General features: G+C 41.0%; 1 protein-coding gene across 1 annotated transcript in view, besides 2 other annotated features; it reads left to right on the top strand.

Annotated features, from left to right (window-relative positions):
- Nucleotides 1-27,210, top strand: part of SFMBT1 (Scm like with four mbt domains 1) — a 142,502-nt gene that overhangs the window by 13,948 nt on the left and 101,344 nt on the right. The window lies entirely within an intron of this gene.
- Nucleotides 725-1,259: an enhancer, noted in NCBI's record as "OCT4-NANOG hESC enhancer chr3:53064883-53065417 (GRCh37/hg19 assembly coordinates)". NCBI's record gives its function as "activates a minimal SCP1, AML or CMV promoter by ChIP-STARR-seq in naive H9 embryonic stem cells {active_cell/tissue: H9 hESC(naive)}" and the evidence as "EXISTENCE:reporter gene assay evidence [ECO:0000049][PMID:30033119]".
- Nucleotides 13,536-13,585: an enhancer, noted in NCBI's record as "active region_19949". NCBI's record gives its function as "activates an Ori minimal core promoter by ATAC-STARR-seq in GM12878 lymphoblastoid cells {active_cell/tissue: GM12878}" and the evidence as "EXISTENCE:reporter gene assay evidence [ECO:0000049][PMID:35858748]".

Genomic DNA, 27,210 nt, shown 5'->3' with positions numbered 1-27,210 from the left:
AGTGCTGGGATTACAGGCATGAGCCATTGTATCCAGCTGGCTGGACATCAAGTTTGTTACATTTAGTTCCTTTTGATCATGGAGGGTTCAGCTCAGCAAAGCCTTCCCTAGACATCCTTACCTCCATTCCAGAGGCACTTTTTTCTCACCATTGATTTTCTTAGTGACACTTTTCACTATAAGAAATATTCTATTTTTAGCTCATTTTAATATTTTAATTTTAATTTATCATAAAATGCTTTAAAGCCACTCTATAGAGAATATTAAAACCTGTGAACCTACTCCCAGGATGTTTTTCCTAATTGTCCCTTGTGGGAGAGATAAACTATACACCAATGCATTATTCCTTGTGTTCATTTACTATTGTAAGCTCTGAAGGTAGGGACTGTGTCTGTCTTTTAATCACCATGGCATCCTGGTACTGAGCACCTGGCAAATATGTGTATGTAAATGGAGGTATGAATAAATAACCAATTTATACATGATTAAGAAATATTTTTTTCCTATCCCTGGACACTTTTTTTTTTTTACAGTGTTATAGTTTTAGTTCTGAATGTTCAGGTTTTTAAAAAATGAGAAACTAGTATTTTGTCATATTTTGCTGCTTTAAATATCTATTTTGATGAATGTTTTAAGTTGGCAAAATGCCTTTCCTCATCTTCATTTTTGAAGATCATGTTATAACTTTTTTTCCGAGATAACTGAGCATCTTTGGATTCTCGACAAATGCATTTCCATTAGTAAAAATCCAATTGCAGGGCATTTGCTTTACTTTTTGTGGCAGTAGTTACAAAGAGGCAATCAGCAGTCTGGTTCTGTGTGGGTGTGGGGTGGGGCAGCTCCACTTCCTTTGCCCTGTGTGACTGATGAGAGAGCCTGTTGTTATTCGCAGGTGCATGGGCCACAGGTTGAGCTTCAGAATCCAAGCCAGTGGAGCCACTTGCCTCCCACTGTTGTTAATGGAATCAATGCACTTAATGTGGGATTGCTGATGATGGCTGTATCTATATGAGGAGTTGGGATCCCTGAAACCAGGAGGAGCCATCTACAGAGTCTGAAGAGGGTTGGACAGGCTTAGGCTTTGCCTGCCATCTCCCTTGCCCCTGCCCCGCATCATGCTTGGAAATGGAGAAGATTGGGAATTTTGAAGCTATGGGGGAAAACCCTTTAGTTTTTTACTGAACTGATGCTTGACTGGAGTGAGTTTAGGTAATTTGGATGCTTCAGTAATTCTAAAGTTGTTAGTTTAGAAACAAAATAATCTTATGTAAAACTGTTGACTCATAAAAAATATGATTAGCATTTCATATTAGCATATAAAATGTAATTGAACTTTAGTCACAGACTTGCTAATGTATTTGTATCTTTTAAATGTTGGTTACAATGGAGCCAAATATTTTTGTTGGAGAAGCAAGTAGATTTTTTTTTTTTTTTTTTTTTTTGCATTATGGCCAGTTGAAAGTTACTGTAATTTTAAAGGAGGAGGGTGAAAGGGACCTCTCCAAACTCCCAATCCCTCCAGTCTCCCCTGTTTTACTGAATTCAAATTGTGCCACAAAGACTTTAGAAATAGTTAAGAAAAATGAGATTGCTTTTAATAGGCATTACTTTTTCTTCTGTTGCTTTATTTTTTAAAATCATCATCACAGACTTAAGTACGCCTTTAAAACATTTTAAACAGGGATACACATACATAGTAAAATTTTTTTTTGAATATCAAAAAAGAGTGTATTCCTTTTTACTGAAACCCCTAGTTCCTCAGTCCCTTCTGTAGGCCACTATTATTCCCAGTTTCTTTTGTATTTTTATAGAAACATTCTATGTGTGTAAATCATATATTTCCGCATCCATATTAAAAAAACTCAAATGGTGATATATTTTAGACATTGTTTTGCACTTCGCTCTTTTCACTGAAAATATCTTGGATATATCCAAGTACACATAGATCTGCTGCATTCTTTTAATGGTTGCCTAGTAGTTTATTGCATGGATGCACCATATTTATTTGTTTCCATATTTATTTATATTTTGGGTTTTTTTTTGCTGCTGCAAACAGTACCATAGACTAATGATAATTGAATTTGCTTGGATTAAGAAAAGTTTTCTAATATTTAAACTGGTTTTTTTTTCTAAGTTAGTATTTCTAATACTAAACACTTAAAAGTGTTTTTTTTTCTAAGTTAGTGTATTTGTGGGGGTAGACTGTTCTCCAGCCTCCCTGCCCCCAAGATGCCAAGGGTAGAGGAACTGGGTGCAGTGGAGTAAGAGGAGTTGGAGGTAGAGAGTCGTGGAGAGGCCTTCTACCACCCCCATTCTCCCCACCCTCCACCCACCACATGTTGCAGAGGGGATGGCATAGGCAGAATCCCCAGCTGAGTCTTGGGAGACTAAAGCATCTGAAGATGTCTTCAGACTACTGAGGTGTTGACCATGCTTTTGAAGCCTAAGGCCTGAATGTATGCTGCTTGTTATGAATTCAGATACTTTGCTTTTGTATTTTCGTTTTGAGAAAATTGCAGCAGCAAGGATTAACAAATTGTATCAATTTCTGTATTTGGGTGGTATTCTTTTGTACATTGGCAGAAATATAGCTAAGTTTTTAAAAGTTGGTTTTTACCTGGGCTACTTGGTAAGGAATTTTAAAAATGCTGCTCCTGTTCTGGCGCAGAATTTCTAAAGAAACTGAGTTTGGAATCTTGAAGCATTCTGTAGTTGAATCTTACAGTGTTGTATATGCCTTTGTAGCCCAAGCTCTTAGTTATTATCCTTCATTAAAAGAACTTCAGAATACCCCTCAGAGAATATATTTATAACCCTTCAATAACGCTCTGCATACTGCCATTTTCTGTAAAATATTTTCCTAAAAAGTGTGACAATTTGTGGTAGTCTATTCTTTTTCTCCCCCATGGTAGTACATTTCTAGCCCATGACTTTTTTTTTTTTTTTTTTTTTTTGAGACGGAGTCTCGCTCTGTCGCCCAGGCTGGAGTGCAGTGGTGCATCTCGGCTCACTGCAAGCTCCGCCTCCCGGGTTCATGCCATTCTCCTGCCTCAGCCTCCCGAGTAGCTGGGACTACAGGCGCCCGCCACCATGCCTGGCTAATTTTTTTGTATTTTTAGAAGAGACGGGGTTTCACCGTGTTAGTCAGGATCTTCTCAAGCTCCTGACCTTGTGATCTGCCTGTCTTGGCCTCCCAAAGTGCTGGGATTATAGGCATGAGCTACCGCGCCCGGCCTAGCCCATAACTCTTGTGACTTGCTCAGAGAGTGTTCACACCAAGCCAGTGACAGGCAGGCAGGTCCCCTCTGAGAGTACTTGTGCACTTCCCTGCAAGGGTTCCCAGCCACGAGTGCTAGACTGGGCGTTTCTGAGTTGTGTTTGCTCTGCTATGGCCTTCTTTCTGCCATTTATTCTGTGTTCTAGCAGGTAATTTTTTTTTAAGATGGGGTCTTGCTATGTCACCCAGACTGGAATGCAGTGACCATACACAGGTATGATCATGATAGCACATTACAGCCTCCAACTCCTGGACTCAAGCTGTTTTCCCATCTCAGCCTCCCGAGTAGCTGGGACTAGTGGTACAAGCATGTGCCACCATGCCCAGCTAGTAAGTAGTTTTGACCCATGAAGGCAGACAAAGAGATGTGACTTGTAGAGTTGAATTTGTGGCAAAGAAACAGTATCACACTGTATGTCAACACACAAGTTTTATGGAACTAAGGTGACTTCAAGAAGTGGTCTGAAAGCGAGGCATGGTGGCTCATGCCTGTAATCCCAGCATTTTGGGAGGCCAAGGCAGGTGGATTGCTTGAGCCCAGGAGTTCGAGACCAGCATGGGCAACATGACAAAACCCTGTCTCTACAAAAAATACAAAAATTAGTTGAGTGTGGTGGTGTGCACCTGTAGTCTCAGCTACTCAGGTGGTTGAGGCAGGAAGATCACTTGAATCTGCCTCCAAGTGAGCTGTGTTCGAGCCACTGCACTCCACCCTGGATGACAGAGCAAGACCCTGTCTCAAAAAGAGTGGTCTGAGAAAAAGAAACAACCGTAGACGTCAGCAGGCAATTAGGGTTAATCAAGTTTTTTGTACTGTGAAAGGCTTTGTAAACAATGGGGTAACCTGGCAAGTTGGACTATCCAAAGTTTAACCCATTTATGCCTACTGTTCCATTACTGGAACGCTAAGCTTGTGGGAGTTATTTATATCATAGTGCTCAAGGTCATCACCAAGGTCTGAGTTTTCACACAAAAAAATTTGCAACCTCCAGCATAAATGGGTTAAAGAACAGGGGGAAGAAACAATGGCTTAAAGGCATGTTTTAATTTCACAGGATTTTAAGAGGAAGCAAATTTCCTGTGGATGATGCCTAACGAATTTACATACGGACTCTGCTTTAGTGACCTTTCTCATTCTTCCATCCATGCCTGTGAAAAAAGGCAGCTGCAGCCTGATTGGCCCATGTGCACACTAGGACTTGTCAGAAATAGCTGACCTCTGGGGCAGATGGTAGGCACTGAATCACTGAATTTCCTTCTCCTGTGAAAATGACAGTATTCCTGGAGGCAGAAATGTTATTGCTGTGTTAAAAAGTTGAATTTTCTCATTAGTGAACTGGAGGTGCCATGATCTGATACCATAGTAATTCATTTAGCAGACACTAAGTAGCTGTGACATGAAGCAGTGGTGCCAGGGGTTTAGGGAATGCAAAATTGAGTAAGTTCCCTGGCCTAGAGAAGCTTATAATCAGGATAGGAAATGATACAGAACTTGTGTTTAAGTGTTGTCAAAAAAGTGTAAAGCGTCTACTATGGAAGGTGTTTTAACGGGGGTGGGGGAATGGGCTAACATTTGTAGAGTTTTGTTTTGAGAAAGGATTTTTTGTAGGAGTAAATGGCAGTGAGTTAGTGATTTGTGAATACTTCTATATTGTATTATTAGTGTAAGAATTTTTAATAAGCTAAAAATTTCAGGTCTTAATAGAGGAAACATCTAGTGTAAAATAAGAAAGTAACCCTGAAATTTTCTTTTGAATTCCCTTCCCTGTTGGGCATGGTGGGTCATGCCTATAATCCTAGCACTTTGGGAGGCCAAGGAGGGAGGATTAGTTGAGACGAGGAGTTTGAGACCAGCCTGGGCAACCTAGCGAGACCCCATCTCTACAAAAAATTGAAAAATTAGCCAGGTGCGGTGGCACGATTGTGTAGTCTTAGCTACTTGGGAGGCTGAACCCAGGAGGTCGAGGCTGCAGTAAGCCGTGATTGCACCATCTTACTCCAGCCTCTCCAGGGACAGGGCAAAACCCTGTCTCTAAAGGAAGAAAAAAAATCCCTTCTCAAACCTTTATCTTTAGCGCTGCCTCCTTCTTAAGCTATTATTTAATTTTGTTGAGGTTCTTGCCAGCTCTTCCTTTTTGAGAGTGCGGCTAAGAACCAACCACACAGATCTCTGGGCTGTTATATCTAGGACTGTAGGCAGCCCCACAGGGACCTACCTGTAACTGCAGTGAGCAGCTGTGGGGGCACAGGGAGGGAGGGTAAACTCTGTTAACTTGTGGCCATGAACATGCAGCTTGGTAGGAATTCCAGCTATCCTTAAAGGGCCTCAGCCTTTTTACTTTGTATTCTCTGTTGAGTTCCTCTATTTGCTCTTTAATTGCTAAGGAAGACTTACTGTCCTCACTGAGTGGCTACGTGTGAGTCGTTTGCTGTCTTGACTTATGGTTTTGTGTGTTTTTAGAATCTTTCCTTTCTAGTACAATAAAATATTTTTATTATTTTAAAAATTAAACTGATTTTGGTAGAATGCTAGGAAAGGGACCAAAAATTTAGTTCATGTTAACTTACTGGAGAATTTTGGTGGGATAGCAGGTTTTGAAGAGATGAAGTGCCTTTTTATTACAGCTTATTACTTTACTGTTGATACTTGTAAGCTGTTACTTGAGACATAAGCATTACTGTGGCAGTTTGTGTTTTCATGTAGTGATGTTTATGGTGTTAATATTTTTTCAGATAATTAATTTTGCTTTTAATAATTTAAAACTACACTTTCTGTAAAGTGATCAGTTGCATTTGGGGGTAGAACTTTTTCTGAAGCAATGTGCTTACATCACTTAACCCATCCATTTGCACGCAATATTAGCTCTTCAAAACACAGCCCAACACTGAGAGAAAGCAAAATCAGTTTTCAAGTGCTGACAATAATTGTTATAAAGCTCCCGCACCAAAGCTGATGTATGGTTCTTAACTGTTTTCCAGCCTTCCGTGTAGATCAGACACCATCAGCTGGGAGCAAGATGAGTAGAGATTGTTAGGGCTGCATAGTGGAGGCAGCAGTCAGCAAAGTCCAGCATCACACCTGGGCTGGGTATAGTTGCTCTTTAGAGAGGCTAGAGTTACCAAGGCAAAGATGAAGTATGTTTAGGAGTCTCTGTTTTAAGAAGATAGGGAAGTAAAAATATATTCTAGAAATATTTCCATCACAGTGTTGAATTTCTTTTTTTTTCTTTTTTTAAGACGGGGTTCACTCTGTCACCCAGGCTGGAGTGCAGTGGCACAATCATGGCTCACTGAATCATCTACCTCCTGGGCGCAAGTGACCTCTCACCTCAGCTTCCCAAGTAGCTGGGACCATAAGCGTGTGCCACCATGCCTGGCTAATTTTTAAATTTTTAAAATTTTTTGTAGAGACAAAGTCTCCCAACATTGCCCAGGCTGGTCTCAAATTCCTGAATTAAAGTGATCCCTCCACCTCAGCCTCCCAAAGTGTTAGGATACAGGCGTGAGCCACTGCACCCAGCCTGAAATATGTTTTGATGCTTGAAGAATGACCAGGCTTCATTTATATATCTGGGCTTTGTTACCTTAGTCCAAAAATGAAGGGAATGGGACTCCCAGATTTTTTCTAGTTCTAAATTTCTTTCTTCATTGGCTGTCTAGAAAATTTACATTTTGATAATTATCCTCTTGAAAATACAGTTAAGAAGGTCATGTTTTTTCTGTAACTTGACCAGTTTAATAAAAACTGGATTAATAGGTACTTACATATTTCTGTACTGTTTCTATAATACTTATATAAAAATATTAAAAGTTTTATAACCTGGCATGTTATAAATTAGTTTTCCCCTATAATAACTATTGGAGAATGTTAATTTGCAATTATTTATTTTTGGCTAAAGTCATTGTATACTTTATATTCTTATATATAATGGCCAAAGCCTTTATATTCTTATATTTGGTTAAATATCAAAACATAAACAATATAATGGCTTTAGACAAAGATAATTAAATAATTCTATAATATTCGTTATATTCTTACACCTGGTAGGAGTCCCTTCGAAGTTTCTGTTGTATGATTTCCAGCGAGATTGTTGGACCGGCCCCTGACTTTTTAAGGCCCAGATGGGAGTTCAAAATATATTCAGAATTTGCTTAGCACCCTCTAAGTAGTGCTAGCACATTGGTCCCAGCGATCATTCAGTTTGACTTGGATTATTTCGGGAGCCTCTTAGCTGTCTTCCCTGTTACTTCTCCCTTTGCCCCTTGCAGTCTGTTGTTGACACACAACGACCCTGTTAGCAAGTGAGTCAGATGATGTTACTCTGCTCAGAATTTACTGCAGTGGCTAAAGCCTTTATCATAGCCAACAAGGCTCTCATGGCCGGCCCTCCCCATCTCTCAGATATCCTCGCCATTGCCTGTTCTGTTCCACATAGGAACATGCCAAGGAGACTTCCTCCTTAGGACTCTTGGACATATCTTCCCTCGCCTGGAATGCTCTTCCTACAGTTATGTGAGTAACTAGCTCCCTTACCTCTTTGGGGTTTTTTCCCCCAAAATCATCTCAGTGACCTGCGTATCTAAAATTTCATAGAACAGGCTCTAACCACCCACCTCCAGACTTGGAAGCAAGCACACCACCCGACTGTGACACGCAGACAGTTGACGTATCTAAAATTTCAACCCTTCTCCAACATTTCATATCCCTGCCCCTGATTAATTTTTTTTCTCCTTAGCACTTGTGTTACACACTATGTGTTTTATTTATTTATCCTGAGTATTGCCTCTCCTTCACTAGAATGTAAGCTCCTTGAGGACAAGGATTTTTGTCTGTGTTGTTTCCTACTATATCTGCAGTACCTAGAACAGCATCTGGTCCATAGTAGTTGCTCACTAAGAATTTGTTGAATGAATGGATGAATGAGTATTTCATAGCATAGCTCCCTACCCTGGCCCATGAGTTATATAAATTTTGAATTTGGAGGGCTATTAGCGAGTGTCTAGTCAGGAAACCACTCCAGGTGTTTCATTCAAGAGGGATGTAATTCTAGGAATTGTTTACAAAAAGAAAGGGCTGTAGGAACAAAAGGGAGAAGGTGCCTACAAACCAGAGCCCACAAACCCGCATTTCTCACTGATGCTACTGGAGTTCGCTGCAACCAAGCAGGAACCTGTACTCCTGCCAGTGCTGCTGCCAGAGCCTAATGGGAGCACAGCTGACGGGGGGTTTGGAAATGTAGATTTCAGGCCTGATGATGCAGGGAGAGTCTGGAAGGGTAGATGTGGGACTAAGTACCAGCATACACTATCCAGCACAGATGGTATTTATTTAATTCATGTATGGAGATAAATTTAGATGTAGAACAAATTAAACTGAGTAGTTTGGGTTGTGCCACCAAATAATAACACAGAGTGAGATCTTAGACCATGACTGAAATATAAGAAAGCTAAGAATTAAATCCCAGTTTAGCCTAGTCATATCCATGTGTTGAACCACAAAACTGAACTCAGCCTCTAGAAATGGAACAAGACAGGAAACATATCTTCACTGTGGCCCTGATCTCTTAGTGTGATTAAGTGTTCATTTCCTTGAGTTCAGTAAATCTGTGTTTAGGCCCAACCATGTCCCAGATTAGATCTCTGTCACATAAAGGATCACATTGACCTCTCCTGATCTGATTAGAGTCATCTGTTACTCAGGACCCTGCTGTCATTTAAAGGTCGGGTTGCTCCTCTTTTTTTCCTCTTCTCACTTTATGAACAAGGACACCAAAATCTAAACATACTTGGTAACTACATGATTTATGATATGAAGTTATTAATAAGCTATTTATTAGGGATGACTTTTTTAAATTTTTTATTGTGGCAAAATAAAATTTAGCATCTTAACCATTTTTAAGTGTATAGTTTAGTGGTATTAAATGCATTCATAAAGCTTACCATCTTAACTGCTTTTAAGTATACAGTTCAGTGGTATGACTATGTTCATAGTGTTGTGCAACCATTACCACAGTCCGTCTCCATCACTCTTTTCATCTTGTAAAACTTAAACTCCATACACATTAAATAATAACTTCCCATTTCCCGCTCCACCCCGCTCCAGGTAACCAGCATTCTGTTTTTCAGTTCTATGAAATTTACTACTTTAGGTACCTCATAGAAGTGGAGTCATGTATTTGTCTTTTTGTGACTGACTGGCTTATTTCACTTAGCATAGTATCATCCAGGTTCATCCACATTGTAACACGTGTCAGAATCGCCTTCATTTTAAAGACTGAATAATATTCCACTGTATGTCTATAGTGTATTTTGCTTCTTCATTCTGGTTTATTTATTTGTTTGTTTGTTTTTTATAGAAACAGGGTCTTATGTTTGCTTTTTTTTTTTTTTTTTTTTTTTGAGACAGCACCTCACCCTGTCGCCCAGGCTGGAGTGCAGTGGTGTGATCATGGCTGACTGCAGCGTCTACCTCCTGGGCCCAAGCAGTTCTCCTGTCTCAGCCTCCCGAGTAGCTGGGACTGCAGGCGCATGCCACCATGTTCAGCTAATTTTTGTGTTTTTACTAGAGATGGGGTTTCACCATGTTGCCCAGTTTGGTCTCCAACTCCTGGGCTCAAGTGATCTGCCCACCTTGGCCTCCCAAATCACTGGGATTACAGGTGTGAACCACCGCACCCAGTCCAGCTAGGCTGTTTCTACAGTAGAAAACAAACACCTGCTAGAGTAGCTTAGATTCTTCTGTTCTTTGTTTCACCTAGTAAGTGAGGCCTTAATTTTCACCTCTTAACCACTTTTTATTTAATGCCATAGACGAATTCTAGAGAGCGGTGAGGAATCTTTGAGAGAAGAAACTTTATTGGGTGGGGTTGCTGGCCTCTGCTCTTTTTGCATTTAGTCTTCTATGAATCCCTTCCTGAATTTGAAGTGCTGCTTTAGAAGAAATATTACCTCATCAGAATTCTAGGGGAAAATGGTTGGTTTGAATTTAAGCAAAAATAATGTATTAATATTTTCCCCTTCTGCGTGCTTTTTCTCTTTTCCCCTTGTAAATGATTTTATTTCTCCCTGCGGTTGCTGTTTTTGAGCTGTGGTTATTGGAAACTCCCATAGAAAGGGGCTGGGTTGGTGGTGCTGGGGCTGGAAGGCTGTGACACAGAGCAGGTGAAAGGGGACTCCTGCTTCCTTGTGTCTTCCGATTCTCCCAAAAAGGCCCTGATGAAGGCCTTAGGTCATAAGACTTATGGAGACACTGTTAGCAACCATCAACTGATTTAAATTAAATCTCCAAATGGCAACAGAGTGCACTTGAGCCAGGAGTATGTCTGTGACCCATGGATACTTGTTGTCTTTTGACTTCATAGAGGCATTTACTTTTATTTATTTAACTCTTTATTATGGAAAAATTTAAACATAACACAGAAGTAGAGATAATATAATACATCCCCAGTTTACACATCACCCAGCTTTAACATTTTGCTTTCCTAGAGACATTTTCTAATGAGGGTAGGCATAAAGCATTTGAGTTTCATATTACCTTTTCCACTCCTTGACATCAGGTTTTAAGCAAAATTGTCTCCAGATTTACTTCAGCAAATTTAGGTACATACTAGTTACTCCCAAGACTAGTTGTAGAGAAGTGATAATTGAATTTGGTCTTTCGTTAGAAATGTACTGAGTGTAAAAAAGATTGTTGTTAGAGATGTCCTTTACGAATAGATTAAGTTTATTATATATCACTGTTAGGCTCAACGTAGCCAATAGGGGACCTCTACTTTCTTTTTTCTTTTTTTGAGACGGAGTCTCACTCTTGTTGCCCAGGCTGGAGTGCAGTGGCGCGATCTCAGCTCACTGCAACCTCTGCTTCCTGGGTTCAAGCAATTCTCCTGCCTCGGCCTCTCATGTAGCTAGGATTACAGGGACGCACCACCATGCCTGGCTAATTTTTTGTATTTTTAGTAGAGACAAGGTTTCTCCATGTTGGCCAGGCTGGTCTCAACCTCCTGACCTCAGGTGATCCGCCCGCCTAAGCCTCCCAAAGTGCTGGGATGACAGGCGTGAACCACCGTACCCGGCCTCTACTTTTACTTAGTATGGAAAAACCTGTATTACAAAACTCTGGGTGGAAGCCTGGGTATAGATTGGAAATGTGTTCTCTGTTCTTGGTTTCCCCTTCTCCCTCCTTCTTCCATCCTCGACTTGTTTTTCTGCCATTCATTCTACAAACATGTATCGGCTTTAATATACTACCCAAAAAAGACAACAGCTTGTATTGCAGGAAGGTAGGGAGATAATAAACCAGTAAGGAAATAAGTAAAATCTAGTAATTGTGATAAATGCTAGCAGGAAATCTGACTGATGTATTAGAAAATAAGATGGGGATGTGTTCAATAGAGTGAAAAGTCTCTTTTTTCCTTTTTTTCTTTTTCTTTATTTTTGTTTTTTCTTTGTTTGTTTGTTTTGAGATGGAGTCTCATTCTGTCACCCAGGCGGGAGTGCAGTGGTGTGATCTTGGCTCGCTGCAACCTCCGCCTCCCAGGTTCAAGCGATTTCCCCTGTCTCAGCCTCCTGAGTAGCTGGGATTACAGGCATGCACCACCATGCCTGGCCAATTTTTGTGTTTTTAGTAGAGACGGGGTTTCACCATGTTGGCCAGACTGGTCTTGAACTCCTGACCTTAGGTGATCCGCCTGCCTCGGCCTCCCAAAGTGCTGGGATTACATCACGCCCGGCCTACTTTTTTTTTTCTTGGTACTCACTGGCCACGGCAAGAAAAAAAAAAATCTTTATGTACTGGTTTTAGACTAAGCTGTGGAAGGCAAGAAGCAGTCACGTGTAGAGAAGGCTGGGTGAGGGGTAGAGCACCTGCAGAGGCCCTGAGATTGGAGTCTGTGGTGAACTAGGAACCAACAGTGGGAGTGTGAATGGAAAGAAGCCGAAGTGGTAAGTGGGGACACCAGATCTTGCAGGGCCTCGTATATCCCAGTAAGGAGTTTTGATTTTACTATTTAGTCAGTTACTGAAAGGTTTTAAGTAGGTTTGTGTCATGATTTGCTTTGTGTTTTAAAAAATGCCTGTATGCTCTATGGAGAATGGACTTCCAAATGCGGAAAGGGAGACAGTTTGGAGGTCGCTGCAATAGTCTAGGTGGCATGGACTAGGATGATGACAGTGAAAAATGGAGAGAAGTGTTTGATTTCAAAATTCATGGTGGCTAGACTCAATAGGACTTGCTCATGGACAGGGTGAGGATGAGGAAGCCATCAACAGTGGTTTCTAAGTTTTTGACTAGGTTGGTCCTGTAATATTGAGATGGGGAAACCTGGGGAGAGTTGGGTTGAGAAGGAAAAAGTTTTGGTTGCCCATGTAACATTAAAATGGAAATTCCAAATGAGTAGTTGGATATGTGAGTCTGGAGCTCAGTGAGTGAGTCCTAATCATTGATTTCACACATATACCCCCCCCACACACACACACACCAGTGACTGAGTCCTCTTAATCATTGATTTCACACACACACATGCACATGCGTGTGCTTTTTTTTGTTTGTTTTTTGAGACAAGGTCTTTCTCTGTTGCCCAGGCTGGAGTGCAGTGATACAATCATAGCTCACTGCAGCCCTCTGGACCTTCTGGACTCACGTGATCCTCCCACCTCAGCCTCCCCAGTAGCTGGGGCTACAGATACAGGCCACCACATCCAGTTAATTAAAAAAATTTTTTTCTGTAGAAACGAAGTCTCACTGTGTTGTCCAGGCTGGTCTCAAGCTCCTGGGCTCAAGCAATACTTCCACCTCAGCCTCCCAAAATGCTGGGATTACAGGTATGAGTATCGATAATATTTATAGCCATGAGTTTGCATGACATCACCTAGGAAGAGAATTCCAGTGTGGATGGGAAAAAAAGAAGAGAACACAGCACCAAACCCCAAGGAATTCCAAGCTTTAGAGCTTGTGATTCTGGAGGAGGCAGCAAAGGAGACAGGATTGGCTAAAGAGGAAGAAGGAAAACCAGGAGAGTAGTGTCACAGTACCTGAGAGAAGAAAATCCTCTGAGAAGTGGCAGTTTACTGTGTAGAATGGAGGGGATCTGGTAAGATAAGAGAGCAAACCATTGGATTTAGCAATTGGAAGGTCATTGGTGACCTGGACAAGAGCAGTACCAGTGAGTTAGGTGAGGCTGTAGCCAGACTGGGGAGGAAATGAGGAAATGCCATATGAAGGCAAGCCTCTGAGATGAGACGGCTTGCTGTGAGGAGGAAGCAGAGAAATGGAGAAGTGCTTGGAGGGCACAAAGGGGTTTTCTTTTACTATTGAGATAGCAACATGAGAGCCTGTTTGTGTGCTGATCTTATGGGACTGTTATGGTAGATAGGGGTGTAGAACATGGGGTCTAACTGAAGGTTCTAGGTTACAGAGTAAATATGGGAACAGGGTGGTGTCTAGAGCTTCAGGGAAGGGATTTTCCTTTCTCTGAAGGATGAAAACAGATCCAGGCAGGTGGTGGGAAAATAAAGGAAGTTCTTGGCCTTCATATTGTACTGCAGAACTAACTTTTTTTCTTGCCTGCTTCTTGCATTCTTCAATTTTCTTTTTCTTTTTTTTCTTTTTGTTTTGTTTTCGAGATGGAGTCTTGCTCTGTCGCCCAGGCTGGAGTGCAGTGATGCGATCTCGGCTCACTGCAACCTCCACCTCCCCTGGTTCAAGTGATTCTCCTGCCTCAGCCTCCCAAGTAGCTGGGACTACAAGCCCGTGCCACCATGCCCAGGTAATTTTTGTATTTTTAGTAGAGTCAGGGGTTCACCGTGTTAGCCAGGATAGTCTCGATCTCCTGACCTCATGATCCACCCGCCTCGGCTTCTCAAAGTGCTGGGATTACAGGCGTGAGCCACCGTGCCCAGCCTATTCTTCAATTTTCTAAGTATGCAATTTTCTAAGTATGCATAGACTTCCAGTTCGTATTAAAGAAATGAAAAAGCAGTTTATTGTTACTTGCCACACACTGAAAAGCATCTTTTTTAAATAGAGAAGGAAAAGAGTTTAGAAACAGCACAAGGTGTATATAGATGTTTACAAGAAGTCATGCTCATTTTGTTAAGGTAATTATATTGCTTTTTTTGAAGAGTGAAGGTATAAGCTGCAGGAGAAGGGAAGAGGCATGGGATGCTTTATTTCGTGGGGTTGTTTCATATGAGTACTGGTATTTCTCCAAGTTGCTCTTTAAGTTCCTTCTTGTTCCATGAGAGTGCTTCATGTTGCAGTCCTGTCACTCTTCTGTTGGAGGAAGGTTTCCTTTACTAACTGTGTAAGACTTAATGTAGAATAGACATGGGAGACTACACTTCTGATCTGATTAGCCTATAAACCCCCAAGAGGGTAGGGATTTTGTTTTGCTCACTATTTCATCCCTGGATCCTGGAACAGTACCTAGCAGGTAGTAGGAATTCAAGAAATACCTGTTGAGTGAATTAATAAAAGAACTGCCAAATAAAAAATAAGTGTCACTATACTAGTGGACCTGGAGAGTAAAGTGACTGCAACATCCTCAAAATGAAAATATTTCCTGTTTTATCCAGAGATCACATTCTTACCTAAAGTAGTATGGTGTGCAGAAATATTATGGGCACTAGATTAGACAGGCATGGATCCCATCTTTATCTTCTAACAGCTTGGGTGTGTTTCTTAGCCTTAGTTTCATTTTCTTTAAGATGGGACTAGTAATAATGTACTTTGCAGAATTACTGTATATTTGTATACTGTATATAAAGTACTCAGCATAGTAGCATAGTAGATCCTCAACAAAAGGAGGATCTCATTCGTTCCTATTTTTCTTAGTGGTTATATAAGTCTAGACACTGGAGACGAATCTAGTTAACAATAATCAGTTTTACAGATGGGAAAAATAAAAAGGAAATTGGATCTTTCCAATGTGAATCAAAATAGAAATTTCCAATGTGAAAGGCAAAACAATAAGCGAAGATCTTTGTGGTTTCAGAATGGGGAAGAATTTCTTAAAATAAGAGGCAAAAAGCACTAACTGTAAAGGAAAGGGTTGATAAATATGACTACATTAAAATTAAAACCATTATCAACAGACGACATAAAGAGAGTGAAAAAATGAGCCACAGAATGGGAGAATAAATAATCACATAGAACTGTCAGAATATGTGAGGAATTCCTTCAAATCAATAAATAAGGAAGACAGCCCAGTAGGAAAATGACTTGAGAAGGCACTTCTCAAAAGAGGGAATCCAGTGGTCAGTAAACATAAGAAAAGGCATTGTCTCACTTTAATTGGGGGATGCAAATTAAAACACGGGGATATGTCATTACACACTCACTAGATTTGCAGGAATTTTAAAACCCACTGTCACTGAGTACGTAGAGCCACTGGAGCTGTTATTCACGCTTGTGGTATGTGTGTTGATACAACCACATTGGGAAGGTTGGACATTGATTGTATGCTTTGAAAGTTGGATATATGTTCACCCTGACCTCAGCTAGATTGACATGTCTTTGGCTTGAGGCAATCTCTGGAGGTTCGCACCGCAATCCATGATCAAGACTATGATGGTAAGTGTTATTAGAGCTCAGAGAGTGTAGTAGTGTCTGGTGTGCTGAGCTGGACCAAGCAAATTCCTCCTGCTTTGGAGTTAGAGGTGTAAGCTTAAAGTTCTGGGTTTTGTTTTTTTTTTTCACTTTGTCCTTTAATTTATTAATGATTATTTTCTAAATGTTAGAAATTCCTAACTTTATTTTCTTTTACTGCTAAAAGTAGGGTGCTAGAAAGACAGTATTCTAAATCAAAGAAAAACCATAGTATACTGTTCTTGATGAAATAAGTCTTCCCTACTGCAGGCCTTGCTGTGTGAAGAAGAAAAATGAGAAGCAAACAATTGTAAGCTTTTTCTTATTTAAAAAATAAGAGGAAAATCACCTACTTAAAGTATACAATTCATTGGTTTTCAGTATATTTACAGGGTAGTGTAACCATCATGATAATCTAATTTTAGAACATTTTCATTATTCCAGAAAAAAAACCTTGTACCCATTAGCAGTTATGCCCTTTCCCTGCTTTTTCAGCCTAAGGCAACCACTAATTTACTTTCTGTCTCTCTAGATTTGCCTATGGTGGACATTTTGTGTAAATGATATCATATAATATGTGGTCTTTTGGACCTGGTGTTAATTTAGCATAAAGTTTTTGAAGTTCATCCATATTGTGTGTGTATCAGTATTTCATTTGTTTTTATTACCAGATAATAGTCTACTATATGGCTATGTCACATCTTATTTATCTACTCATCAGTTGATGAACATTTGGGTTGTTTGTACATTTTGGCTGTTGTCAGTAATGCTGCTGTGAACATTGCTATACAAGTTTTTGTGTGAACATTTGTTTTCATTTCTCTTGGGTATATACCTAGGAGTGGAATTGCTGGGTCTATGGTAACTCTTATGTTTAACTTTTTGAAGAACTGCCAAACTGTTTTTTCAAATTGCCTATACCATTTTACCTTCTGGTTTCTCCACATCCTTGACAGCACTTGTTATTCTCTATTTTTTTTTTATGATAACCATTCTTGTAGCTTTAATTGGGGTATTGCCAATTAAAATACAATGATTTTTTTTTTTTTTCCTTGGGACAGGGTCTCTCTCACCTGTCACCCAGGCTGGAGTGCAGTGGCATGATCTTGGCTCACTGCAACCTCTGCCTCCTGAGTTCAAATGATCCTTCCACTCAGCCTCCTCAGTAGCTGTGACTACAGGCGTACACCACCATGCCCAGCTAAGTTTTGTAGAGACGAGGTTTCACCATGTTACCCAGGCTGGCCTCCCACTCCTGGGCTCAAGCGATCTGCTGTGCCAGCCTCCCAAAGTGCTGGGATTACAGGCATGAGCCACTGCTCCCGGTCCTATTACTTTTTATATAACTCAAACATGATTCTGGCTTTTTAAATGACATTTGTTGAGGGAGGTTGCTTTATGCTTTCATTTTGGGGGTCCTCCAGATTCATAGTTTCTCTCTGCTGTATTAACATTTATGCTGGCTGTGTCTTTATTCATTCACTCACTCCATCACACACTGAGGGCCTGTCCTTTAGAGTCTAGTCCCAAGAGAGCCTAGGACTCACCCCTGTCAGAGACTGTGACACCTGATTTTGTGTTGCGAAAATAAAGAATATTGTAAAAATAGTTGTACAGTTTATAAGGTAGACTAGATGTACTACTGTTGGTCTCCAGAGCTTTTTATGAAGATCTGTTATCAGTAAAAGCTCTCAGATAGGTTTCTTCTTGTTAGTTGATTCATTGGGTGGTGGTTCTAGAAACTGTTTTGTTTTGTTTTGTTTTGTTTTGTTTTGTTTTGTTTTGTTTTTTTTAAATACAGGGTCTCTCACTCTGTCACCCAGGCGGGAGTGCAGTGGTGTGATCACGGCTCACTGTAAACTTGACCTCCTGGGCTCAAGCGATTCTCCTGCCTCAGCCTCCCAAAGTGCTGGCATTACAGGCATGAGCCGCTGCGCCTCACCTAAAAACTTTCTAAGAAGTGATCTCAATTCTTTCCTGAATTGAGGCTTTAGGACATTCAGTGAAATGCCTAAGAAGAAATGATAGAAGATGAGGAAATCCATTTTGGAAAAAGCCTTACATGTAAATATTTTATTTTTGAATGGCAGGCAGCTCGGTGTGTTGGCAGAATAACTTAGGTTATGGATTTGGCTGTCATTTACTAGTTGTGTGATATTTGATAAGTTAAATAACTTCTTTGAGTCTCTTATTTCCTGACCTTTAAAATGGGAATATTTCAAATGGTGGTGGGATGGAAGAGGTATCATATCACATGGTGCCTAGTGCGGTAAGCACTAAGTGTCAGCTCTCTTCCTCCCTGACTGCAAGGCAGTTTATTTAAATAAAATGATTCTTGGCCGGGAGCAGTGGCTCACACCTGTAATCCCAGCACTTTGGGAGGCTGAGATGGGCGGATTACCTGGGATCAGGAGATCGAGACCAGCCTGACCAACATGGTGAAACCCCATCTCTACTAAAAATACAAAAATTAGCTGGGTGTGGTGGTGGGCGCCTGTAATCCTAGCTACTTGGGAGGCTGAGACAGGAGAATCGCTTGAACCCAGGAGGCGGAGGTTGCAGTGAGCTGAGATTGCGCCATTGCACTCCGGCCTGGGTGACAGAGCAAGACTCCATCTCAAAAAAAAAAAAAAAAAAAAAAAAAAAAAAAGATTCTTTATAAATAAACTGTGTTCCTTCTTGAAGTAATTAAATTTACTATTAATGGATTATTATCTAATAGTAACAAAATGGTGAGAGCATTTTGGCAAGAGCAAATATAGTAATCATTTCCTAGAATGTGAAAAAAGTTGATTCCAGCTAGCAGTGGATAGAAAAGTGAATTTAGCAGAAACTCACCTCTGGTCTGTTTTGAACAACTTAGCCATACAATACCACTAAGAGTTATACTCAAGACGTAATATTCTTTGGCAATTCTAAGTTTACCTGTTCCCTGTTGTCCACCTAGAAGAGTTTTACTCTTTAGGTGAAAGATTGAAGAATGATTACCCTTACCATTTTGAGTAGAAACTAGTGCATAAATTGTAACTTAGCAAGTTTCATGAATGAATTGTACTATCTCAACTTAGAGCCCATCACTGGAAATATTGATGAAAATATTTTCCATTGAAGCAGCAAGTGTTTTTGCCAACATTATAATCAAATCCAGTAGCTCCACAATTCCTAAAGCAGATTTTCAGATGATTGTGATTGGTCTTTTAGATGCTTTTTCAAAATATGGTTTACGGTTTGGGAAAGGTAGTATAAAATATTTATAATTTTTTATGGGTTTTTTTGTATTTTTGTTATTAGTCTCTTTAGCATTGAGTTTTGAGAGATGTTAGCTTTTCAACTATAAAGCAGGTGAAATATGCTCCAATCAGTGTATGTTAATTTGTTATATTTATAGCTGAACTAGATTTGCTGGTGATGGAAATTTAGCCTGCAAAAACTAAATTGTGTCTTCCATTTTCCCATAATTGCATTACCTTGAATCATATGATATGTAGGCCCTAACCTTTGACTTTTGGGTTTGTTGGCCAGTGTTTTCCTATTACTAAAATAAGCAAAGGATTAAGAGCACTCGGCCGGGCGCGGTGGCTCACGCCTGTAATCCCAGCACTTTGGGAGGCAGAGGCGGGCGGATCATGAGGTCAGGAGATCGAGACCATCCTGGCTAACACAGTGAAACCCCGCCTCTACTAAAAATACAAAAAATTAGCCGGGCGTGGTGGCGGGCGCCTGTAGTCCCAGCTACTCGGGAGGCTGAGGCAGGAGAATGGCGTGAATCCGGGAGGCGGAGCTTGCAGTGAGCTGAGATCGCGCCACTGCACTCCAGCCTGGGCGACAGAGCGAGACTCCGTCTCGGGAAAAAAAAAAAAAAGAGCACTCACTGCAAGGCACTTCTGTCCTTTTTAGCAGCCATTGAATCTTGTCCATTTGCTGCGCAGCGACTTAAATGCCTACTTCTTATTCACGGCCTTCAGTTTGTATCTGTCCTTCTCTTCTCAGCCACCCACATCGTAGCCTCGGCTTCCACCACACAACTGGAAATCTCTCCCAGAGGGTGCCAGTAACCTTTGTAGTGGCAAGGCCAGTGTCCTTTCTTTTCTCAGCCTTTATTCTCTTGAATTTCCTTTCATGTTTGGCTTTGTCATTGGTGCACTCCTCTTTGTGAGAGGAAACTTTCTAGGTTTCCTACCTCTCAATTTTTTCTGTATTTAATTTATACAAAGTGGCTCATGTAGTGGCTGGCACATAGATACTTAAAAAGTGTTAGTTCCTACCTCTCTTTTTTTGTGGTCTCTCCTTCATTCTCTGTTCATTTCTCCGTGAGATTTTCTGATTAGTAGTTACCTTCAGCATGCCAGTTGACTTGCAAACCTACAATCCAACCTTTCTTCTACTTTGTCATCTGACAACAGCCTGGTTTGTAGCTGATTCCAGGACTTCTTCACTTGGGTGGCCACTCTCATTACCACAGAGTTCACTAGTCATGGTGAACACACCAGTCTTTTACACCTCCCTCACTCCCAAACCTCAGTTCTTCTTAACTACTATCCCAGTATTTTCAGTGGCACCAGTATTTATTTTCCTTTTCACATGCTAGAATTTGGAGTCATCTTTGATTTTTCTGTCATTTCCTACTTTGAAATGTCTCTTAGGCTCAATCCTTTGACACCATTCTGATGGCCGCTTCTCTGCTTTAAGCCCACAGCCTTTGATCTCTGGGCTAGTCCAACACCTTCCTGCTGGTCTGCTGCTGGTCCTAACTGCCCTTTAACTGAGTATATGTCACTTGGCAGCTATAAAATGTAGCACTCCTCAAGTCTTTCCTGTTTGGTGCTGTTTGTGTACTATAGAACTTTTATGTATTATATGTACTCTTCTGTGGGGCCTCGTTATCTATGCCAGCAGATTGATCCCTCCTGCCACCTTACACACGAGCATACTTTCCACCCTGCCCCTTGCCGACCTGATGCCAGCCTGATGCCAGCCTTGGTACCCTTTGCATGCTGCTTGGCCTGCTGGGAATGCCTTCCACCCTTTCCTCTACCTTTCCAAGATTCTGTCTGTCCTTGAAGATGAAATTTATGCCTTTCTTTTGGTAAAGCTGTTTGCAGCTATTTTGACCCACAGTTAACTCTCCCTTTTTTGGCAGCTAATTTTGAAAAGCCTTGCATTTCAGAAATTTCTCTAGTGATTCTATCTGTAACTGTAAAATCCTTTAGGGCAAGACTGAGCTTCCTATTGGGCCACCCCATCATCCCCTGGGAAGTACCAAGAACAAAGGAGGTGCTCAGTAGTAGATAGAGACAAGTTGCTAGCAGGCTGGTAAAGAAGCATTGTAAATATGCTGGTTTTTAACTGTGTTGGTAAATACTGAGTGGAAGACAGTTCCGAAGATACAGATACCAAATAGATGTTTCTGAGCTTAGTGGTCTTTTTTATCTGGTGTCATTTTGTTGATATGGTATAACAAATATTGTGGAATTAAAATTCAATGGAGAAGCTTTGGGCAAATTACCTTATTTAAACATGTTTTATAAGTTAAGTTCTATATATACAGAGATGTTTGTCACTTTCTCAGTCAGGTACTGTCAAACAAGTACTAGGCTATAAATAACATCATTACAGAAAAACACACTGTATTCTGGTTGTACAAATTAAGTGAATGTCATCTTACTTTGAAACATGGCTCCACAATTACCCCCTTGTGCATTTTCCCCATGTATATTGTGTAAAGAACATTAAGAAAATTTCTTGTATAATTTTCTTTCTGCCACTCACCTCCTCCTCCCAAAAGCATCTCTGGACTAGAAAGGGCTTACCAGCCCCACAGAGGGTTCAGTCAGGACCCATGTGCTACTTTCCCCTGGCCTGGCAGCCATGTTCGGTCACTGCCCAGCTGCTCTCTCTTGATGCCTTTGTCTCCCTTTGTCCTCCCCTGGGATAGGTAGCTCAGGCTTCCTGCACCACACCCCCTTGCACTCCTTGCAGTAGGAGCACTGAAGAGCCAGAATAGCTTTCTGGTTGTTCTCTCTTTACCCAAAGAAGTTTCACTTGCTTGTTTGTTGAGAATGAGAGAATCCATTTGAGTTTCTTTTTTCTTTCTCCTTTACTACTTAAAACATCCTTCCTTTTCATTATGATTGCTTGCTTTTAGCTTGTTTCCTATTGGCTTGAGGCAAAGGGATCATGTTTTAAATCTCTGTAGCTGCTACATAGTAGAGCATAGTATAGAAACCAAATATAGTTGACCTTGAACAGCACAGGGCAAATCACATGGGTCCACTTTATGTGGATTTTCTTCTGCCTCTGCAACCCCTGAGACAGCAAGACCAACCCATCCTCTTCCTTTTCAGCCTACTCAGTGTGAAGACCGTGAGGATGAAAACCTTTATGATAATCCATTCCACTTAGTGAATAGTAAATATATTTTCTCTTCCTTATAATTTTTCTAATATTTTGTTTTCTCTAGTTTATTTTATTGTAAGAATACAGTGTATAATACATATACAAAACATGTTAATCCACGGTTTATGTTATCAGTAAGGCTTCTGGTCAGCTGTAGGCTATTAGTAAAGTTTTGGGGAGTCAGAAGTTACATGCAGATTTTTTCCTGTGAGGGCAGTTGGTAATCCTGACGCCTGTGTTGTTCAAGGGTCAACTGTAAATATTTGTTGAATGAATAAGTGATTCATGTGTTTAAAAACCAAACTTACTGAAAGAGTGAAGGATTGTATTATCTAGCACCAGATTTCCTCCCACCCTTGTATTCTCCTGTATTCTCAGCAGATTAACAACTTTTGTTGTTCAAAGTGAGGGATTCTTTTATTTATTTATTTATTTTTTGAGATGGAGTCTCTGGAGTGCAGTGGCGTGATCTCGGCTCACTGCAATCTCTGCCTCCCGGGTTCAAGCAATTCTCCTGCCTCAGCCTCCCGAGTAGCTGAGATTACAGGCATATGTCACCATGCACTGGGCTAATTTTTTATTTTTAGTACAGACGGGGTTTTACCATGTTGGCCTGGCTGGTCTTGAACTCCCGACCTTAAGTGATCTGCCCACCTCAGCCTCCCAAAGTGCCGGGATTACAGGCATAAGCCACCGTGCCCAGCCAAAAGTGGTATTCTCACTTCCTGTTTTTTCTTTTTTCATTTTCTTCCTTGTTATAGACACAGGGTCTTGCTATGTTGCCCAGATTGATCTCCAACTCCTGGGCTCAAGTGATCCTCCCACCTCAAGCCTCCCGAGTAGTTGGGATTACAGGCATGAGCCACCATGCCTGGCTGGTATTCTCACTTTACAGAGTAGGATATCAAGACCCAGAAGGGTAAACAAAATCTTCCGGCCGGGCACGGTGGCTCACGCCTGTAATCCCAGCACTTTGGGAGGCCGAGGTGGGCACATCATGAGGTCAGGAGATGGAGACCATCCTGGCTAACACGGTGAAACCCCGTCTCTACTAAAAATACAAAAAATTAGCCGGGCGTGGTGGCGGGTGCCTTGTAGTCCCAGCTACTCGGGAGGCTGAGGCAGGAGAATGGTGTAAGTAAACCTGGGAGGCGGAGCTTGCAGTGAGCTTAGATCGCGCCACTGCACTCCAGCCTGGGTGACAGAGCGAGACTCTATCTCAAAAAAAAAAAAAAAAGTCTACCTAGGGTCATGAAATTTGTATGTGATGAACTGGAGCTTGAAGTCAGTGTTACTACATGGAAAGCCTGGTTTTTCTTTTTTGTTATGCAACACTATTTTATACTACTTCCCTAGTGACCAAATGGAAGACTTATTTAGTACTTTTACAAAGAGAACATTCTTGTTGGAAAGAATTTGTGTGTATGTATTAAGATTGTATCCATTACTTTCATTTTGGAGAGATACTAATCATTTAAAATGTTTTTGAAAACTTTTGAAACAGCCCAAAACAGAATAGTTACAAGTACAGTAGAGAAAACTTGTTTTCTTCTCCAGAACCGTTGGAGTTGTCCGCCTGATGCTCCATCACTCTGGAATTACCCTAGTGTGTGTATGTTTCCAATGGTAAGGACATTCTTCTACATAAGTACAACATAACCATCAAAAGCAGGAAATTAACATTGACACATTATATTACCATCAAATACTCCTCACACCCCCCCATTCCCCATTCAAGTTTGACCAATAGTCCCAATAAAGACCTTCCAGCTCCTTTCCCCACCGCCTTTTTTTTTTTTTGCGGGGGTGGGGCAAGCAAAAGGATTCAGTTCAGATTCACATGCTTTGCTTTTAGTTGCCAAGTCTTTCTCAGCCTTCTTTTGACTTTCATGGTCTTGATGGGTTGGAAATTATAAGCCAGTTATTTTGTAGCCTGTCCTTCAATTTGGGTTTGTCTCATGTTTTCTCATGATTAAACTCAGGTTGCGTATCTTTGGCAGAAATATGGCAGAAATGATGTTATGTCTCATTGCCTCCTAGTAGGTGACATACAATTTCAATTTTTTGCATTTTTCTACTGCTAAATTATTCTTCCATTTGTAATTGGTATTTTATGGATAAGTACTTCCAAATTATGTTAACTATCTCATTCTTCATCACATTTTCAATTTATTGATTTATTAATTTATATCAATATGAACTCATGTTTTTTATTTTAATCAATGAGCTATAATCTTTTATTATTTGTATTGATGCTTAAATTGTCTCAGACTTGGCCAGTGGGAGGCCCTTCAAGCTGCTGCTTTGTCCTTTTGACATGTCTCCATTATTCTTGGAGCATTTTCTTGTTTTCTGGCACAAGTGTTCTAGGCCAGAATTTCTCAACTCTGGCACTGTAGGTACTCATATGTGTGGTTATTTGTTTCAGCATACATTCCATTCTGCAAAGAAATAGAAGATATTTGAAAAAATAATTAGCAAATATTGACCTTTTTTTGGTCCTTAGTCTAATATATCACTTAGAGTGACTTTTTGATACAACGGTGAAGGTGGCAGGCAGCCTGATATTCCTTTTTTGTATATTTTTCCTTTTTCCTACCTAGCGGGGGAAAAGAGGTCTTGTTTAGAAAGTGCTAAGTAGAGGTATTAAAATTGTCAAAGCCTTTTAATTGTCAGAACAATAATTTAAAACAAACACAAAAAGCCCCCAAACACTTTTGATTGATAAAGCATTTTAGTATCATTGAAACAAGAGTGGGAGAGGGGATGTGCTCCTCACCCATCTGTCACATATTTAGTGAGCATGTGTCTGCTGGGATCAGGGACCAGGGCTCTTCATGAGGCAGCCAGGGCTACAAAGGCAAACAAAATTCAGTGTGGTCCCTGCATACCCTCATGGAGCTTACAGTCTACTGGTTGAGAGACAGAGCCATAAAATGAAACATGGAATGGTGGTCATAAAAGGAACTGCCCGGAGCAGCAATTCCTCACTTGTGAAATATAGCAAATGTTCTACTTTACAAATTGTTCTGAAGGTAAAATGAGATTATGTAAGCAAAAGTCCTTTGTAAACTGTGGAAGCTTACATAAATGAAGTACAGTCTTCCCTTGGTGTTTGCAGGGGATTGGTTCCAGGACCCCTCCATATCCAAAATTCATAGATGCTCAAGACCCTTATATAAAATGACGTAATATTTGGATATAATCTACACACATCCTCCTGTATACTTTTTTTTTTTTTGAGACGGAGTTTTGCTCTGTCGCCCAGGCTGGAGTACAGTGGCAGGATCTCGGCTCACTACAACCTCTGTCTCCCGGGTTCAAGTGATTTTCCTGCTTTAGCCTCCTGAGTAGCTGGGGTTACAGGCACGTGCCAACACGCCCGGCTGATTTTTCTATTTTTAGTAGAGACGGGGTTTCACCATGATGGTCAGGCTGGTCTTGAGCTCCTGACCTCGTGATCTGCCCACCTTGGCCTCCGAAAGTGCTGGGATTACAGGCGTGAGCCACCGCGCCAGGCCTGGACTCTTTATGATTGCTAAAGTAAACATCCCCTGAGAACTAACCTCCAGGCTCTTCCTCCCCATTCCGTCCTGAACATCAGTCTCTGATCTCTGTATATGTGCACTGCTGCTTACTTTCCTGTCATTTTAATCCCATTCAGAAGCCTTCAGTCTGAAATTCAAACTCTTGGTATATAAGGCCTCCAGGCTAACTCCAACCTAGCTTTCTAGTCTTTTCTTGTTGCTTGCCTTGAAGTGACCTCTCACTATGCTTCCGCCAATGGGCTAATCAACTTCTTCAGGCAGCAGCTTGAAGGCAGAGTCCAATAAACTTGTTGGAGCTCAGCCACAGCATCTGCTGTGACTGCTCCTCCTCATCCTTCCTCCCAAGAACCTGCATTGCATGGTCCTGCCTGCCCCACCCAGAGTGCCCTTCTGGTTGCCGGCTTGGACCACAGGCTCTTTCAGAAGGCTGGTCTGGAATTGCTACTGCCCCTTCATGCATGTCCACCCTCTCTCTGTCTTACAATTGGCTGAGGTGTTTCTGTGCAGCTGATTTTTCTGACCCATATTCACATCGTTTACATCCCAGGTAGAAAAATAAAGATGACAACAAAGGAGAAAAAGTACCCCAGCCAAATTGGTCTAGTCACTGTGCCTGAAACACATGTTGTGTGTTGTCATCTCTATGTTTTTGCTTTTATCCTCCTGCCTGGAATTCTCTTCCTCTCCTCTGTTTTTCAAAATTAAATCCCAGCTGGGCTCTGTGGCTCCTGCCTGTAATCCCAACACTTCGGAAGGCCAAGGTGGGAGGATCATTTGAGGCCAGGAGTTTGAGACCAGCCTGGGCAACACAGTGAGACCCAATCCTGTTTCTACAATAACAATTAGCAGGATGTGCTGGCATGCACCTGTAGTCCTAGCTACCGTATGGCAGGATAAGGTAGGAGGATCATTTGGGCCCAGGAGTTTAAGGCTGTAGTGAGCTATGATTGTACCACTGCACTTCGGCCTGGGTGACAGAGTGAGATCCTGTCTCTTAAACAAACAAAAAAACCCACATGGCTTAAACCCCCTCTTCACTTTACTCCCATCATGCGTACAGCCTATTCAGAGCATTTGGTAGTCATCATTTACCATTGTAAGTTGCTGTTAGGTTTTTCCAACTGGCATGACATGCTCTCAAAGTGTACGGACTGTATGTAACATGTGTTTATATTTCCCATTTTTATGTAATCTCGAATAAGTTTTTGCTGTTTGATAAGAAAAGTGACCTGACTACATTCAGACCAGCTCCCAAGAATTTAAAAAGAACTCCTGACTTTTCAAAACTACAAAGCAGTAAACAAACTGAATTTACACTGGAAGAAAAAAAATTATTAAACTTTATACTAATTGTGCATTTTGTGAAAAGTTACAGCTTATCTGACTTACGTCTCCTCTAAGCACAG

Source organism: Homo sapiens, chromosome 3, assembly GCF_000001405.40.
Source record: "Homo sapiens chromosome 3, GRCh38.p14 Primary Assembly".
NCBI lineage: Eukaryota > Metazoa > Chordata > Mammalia > Primates > Hominidae > Homo > Homo sapiens.
This window is presented reverse-complemented; position numbering and strand designations above follow the sequence as displayed.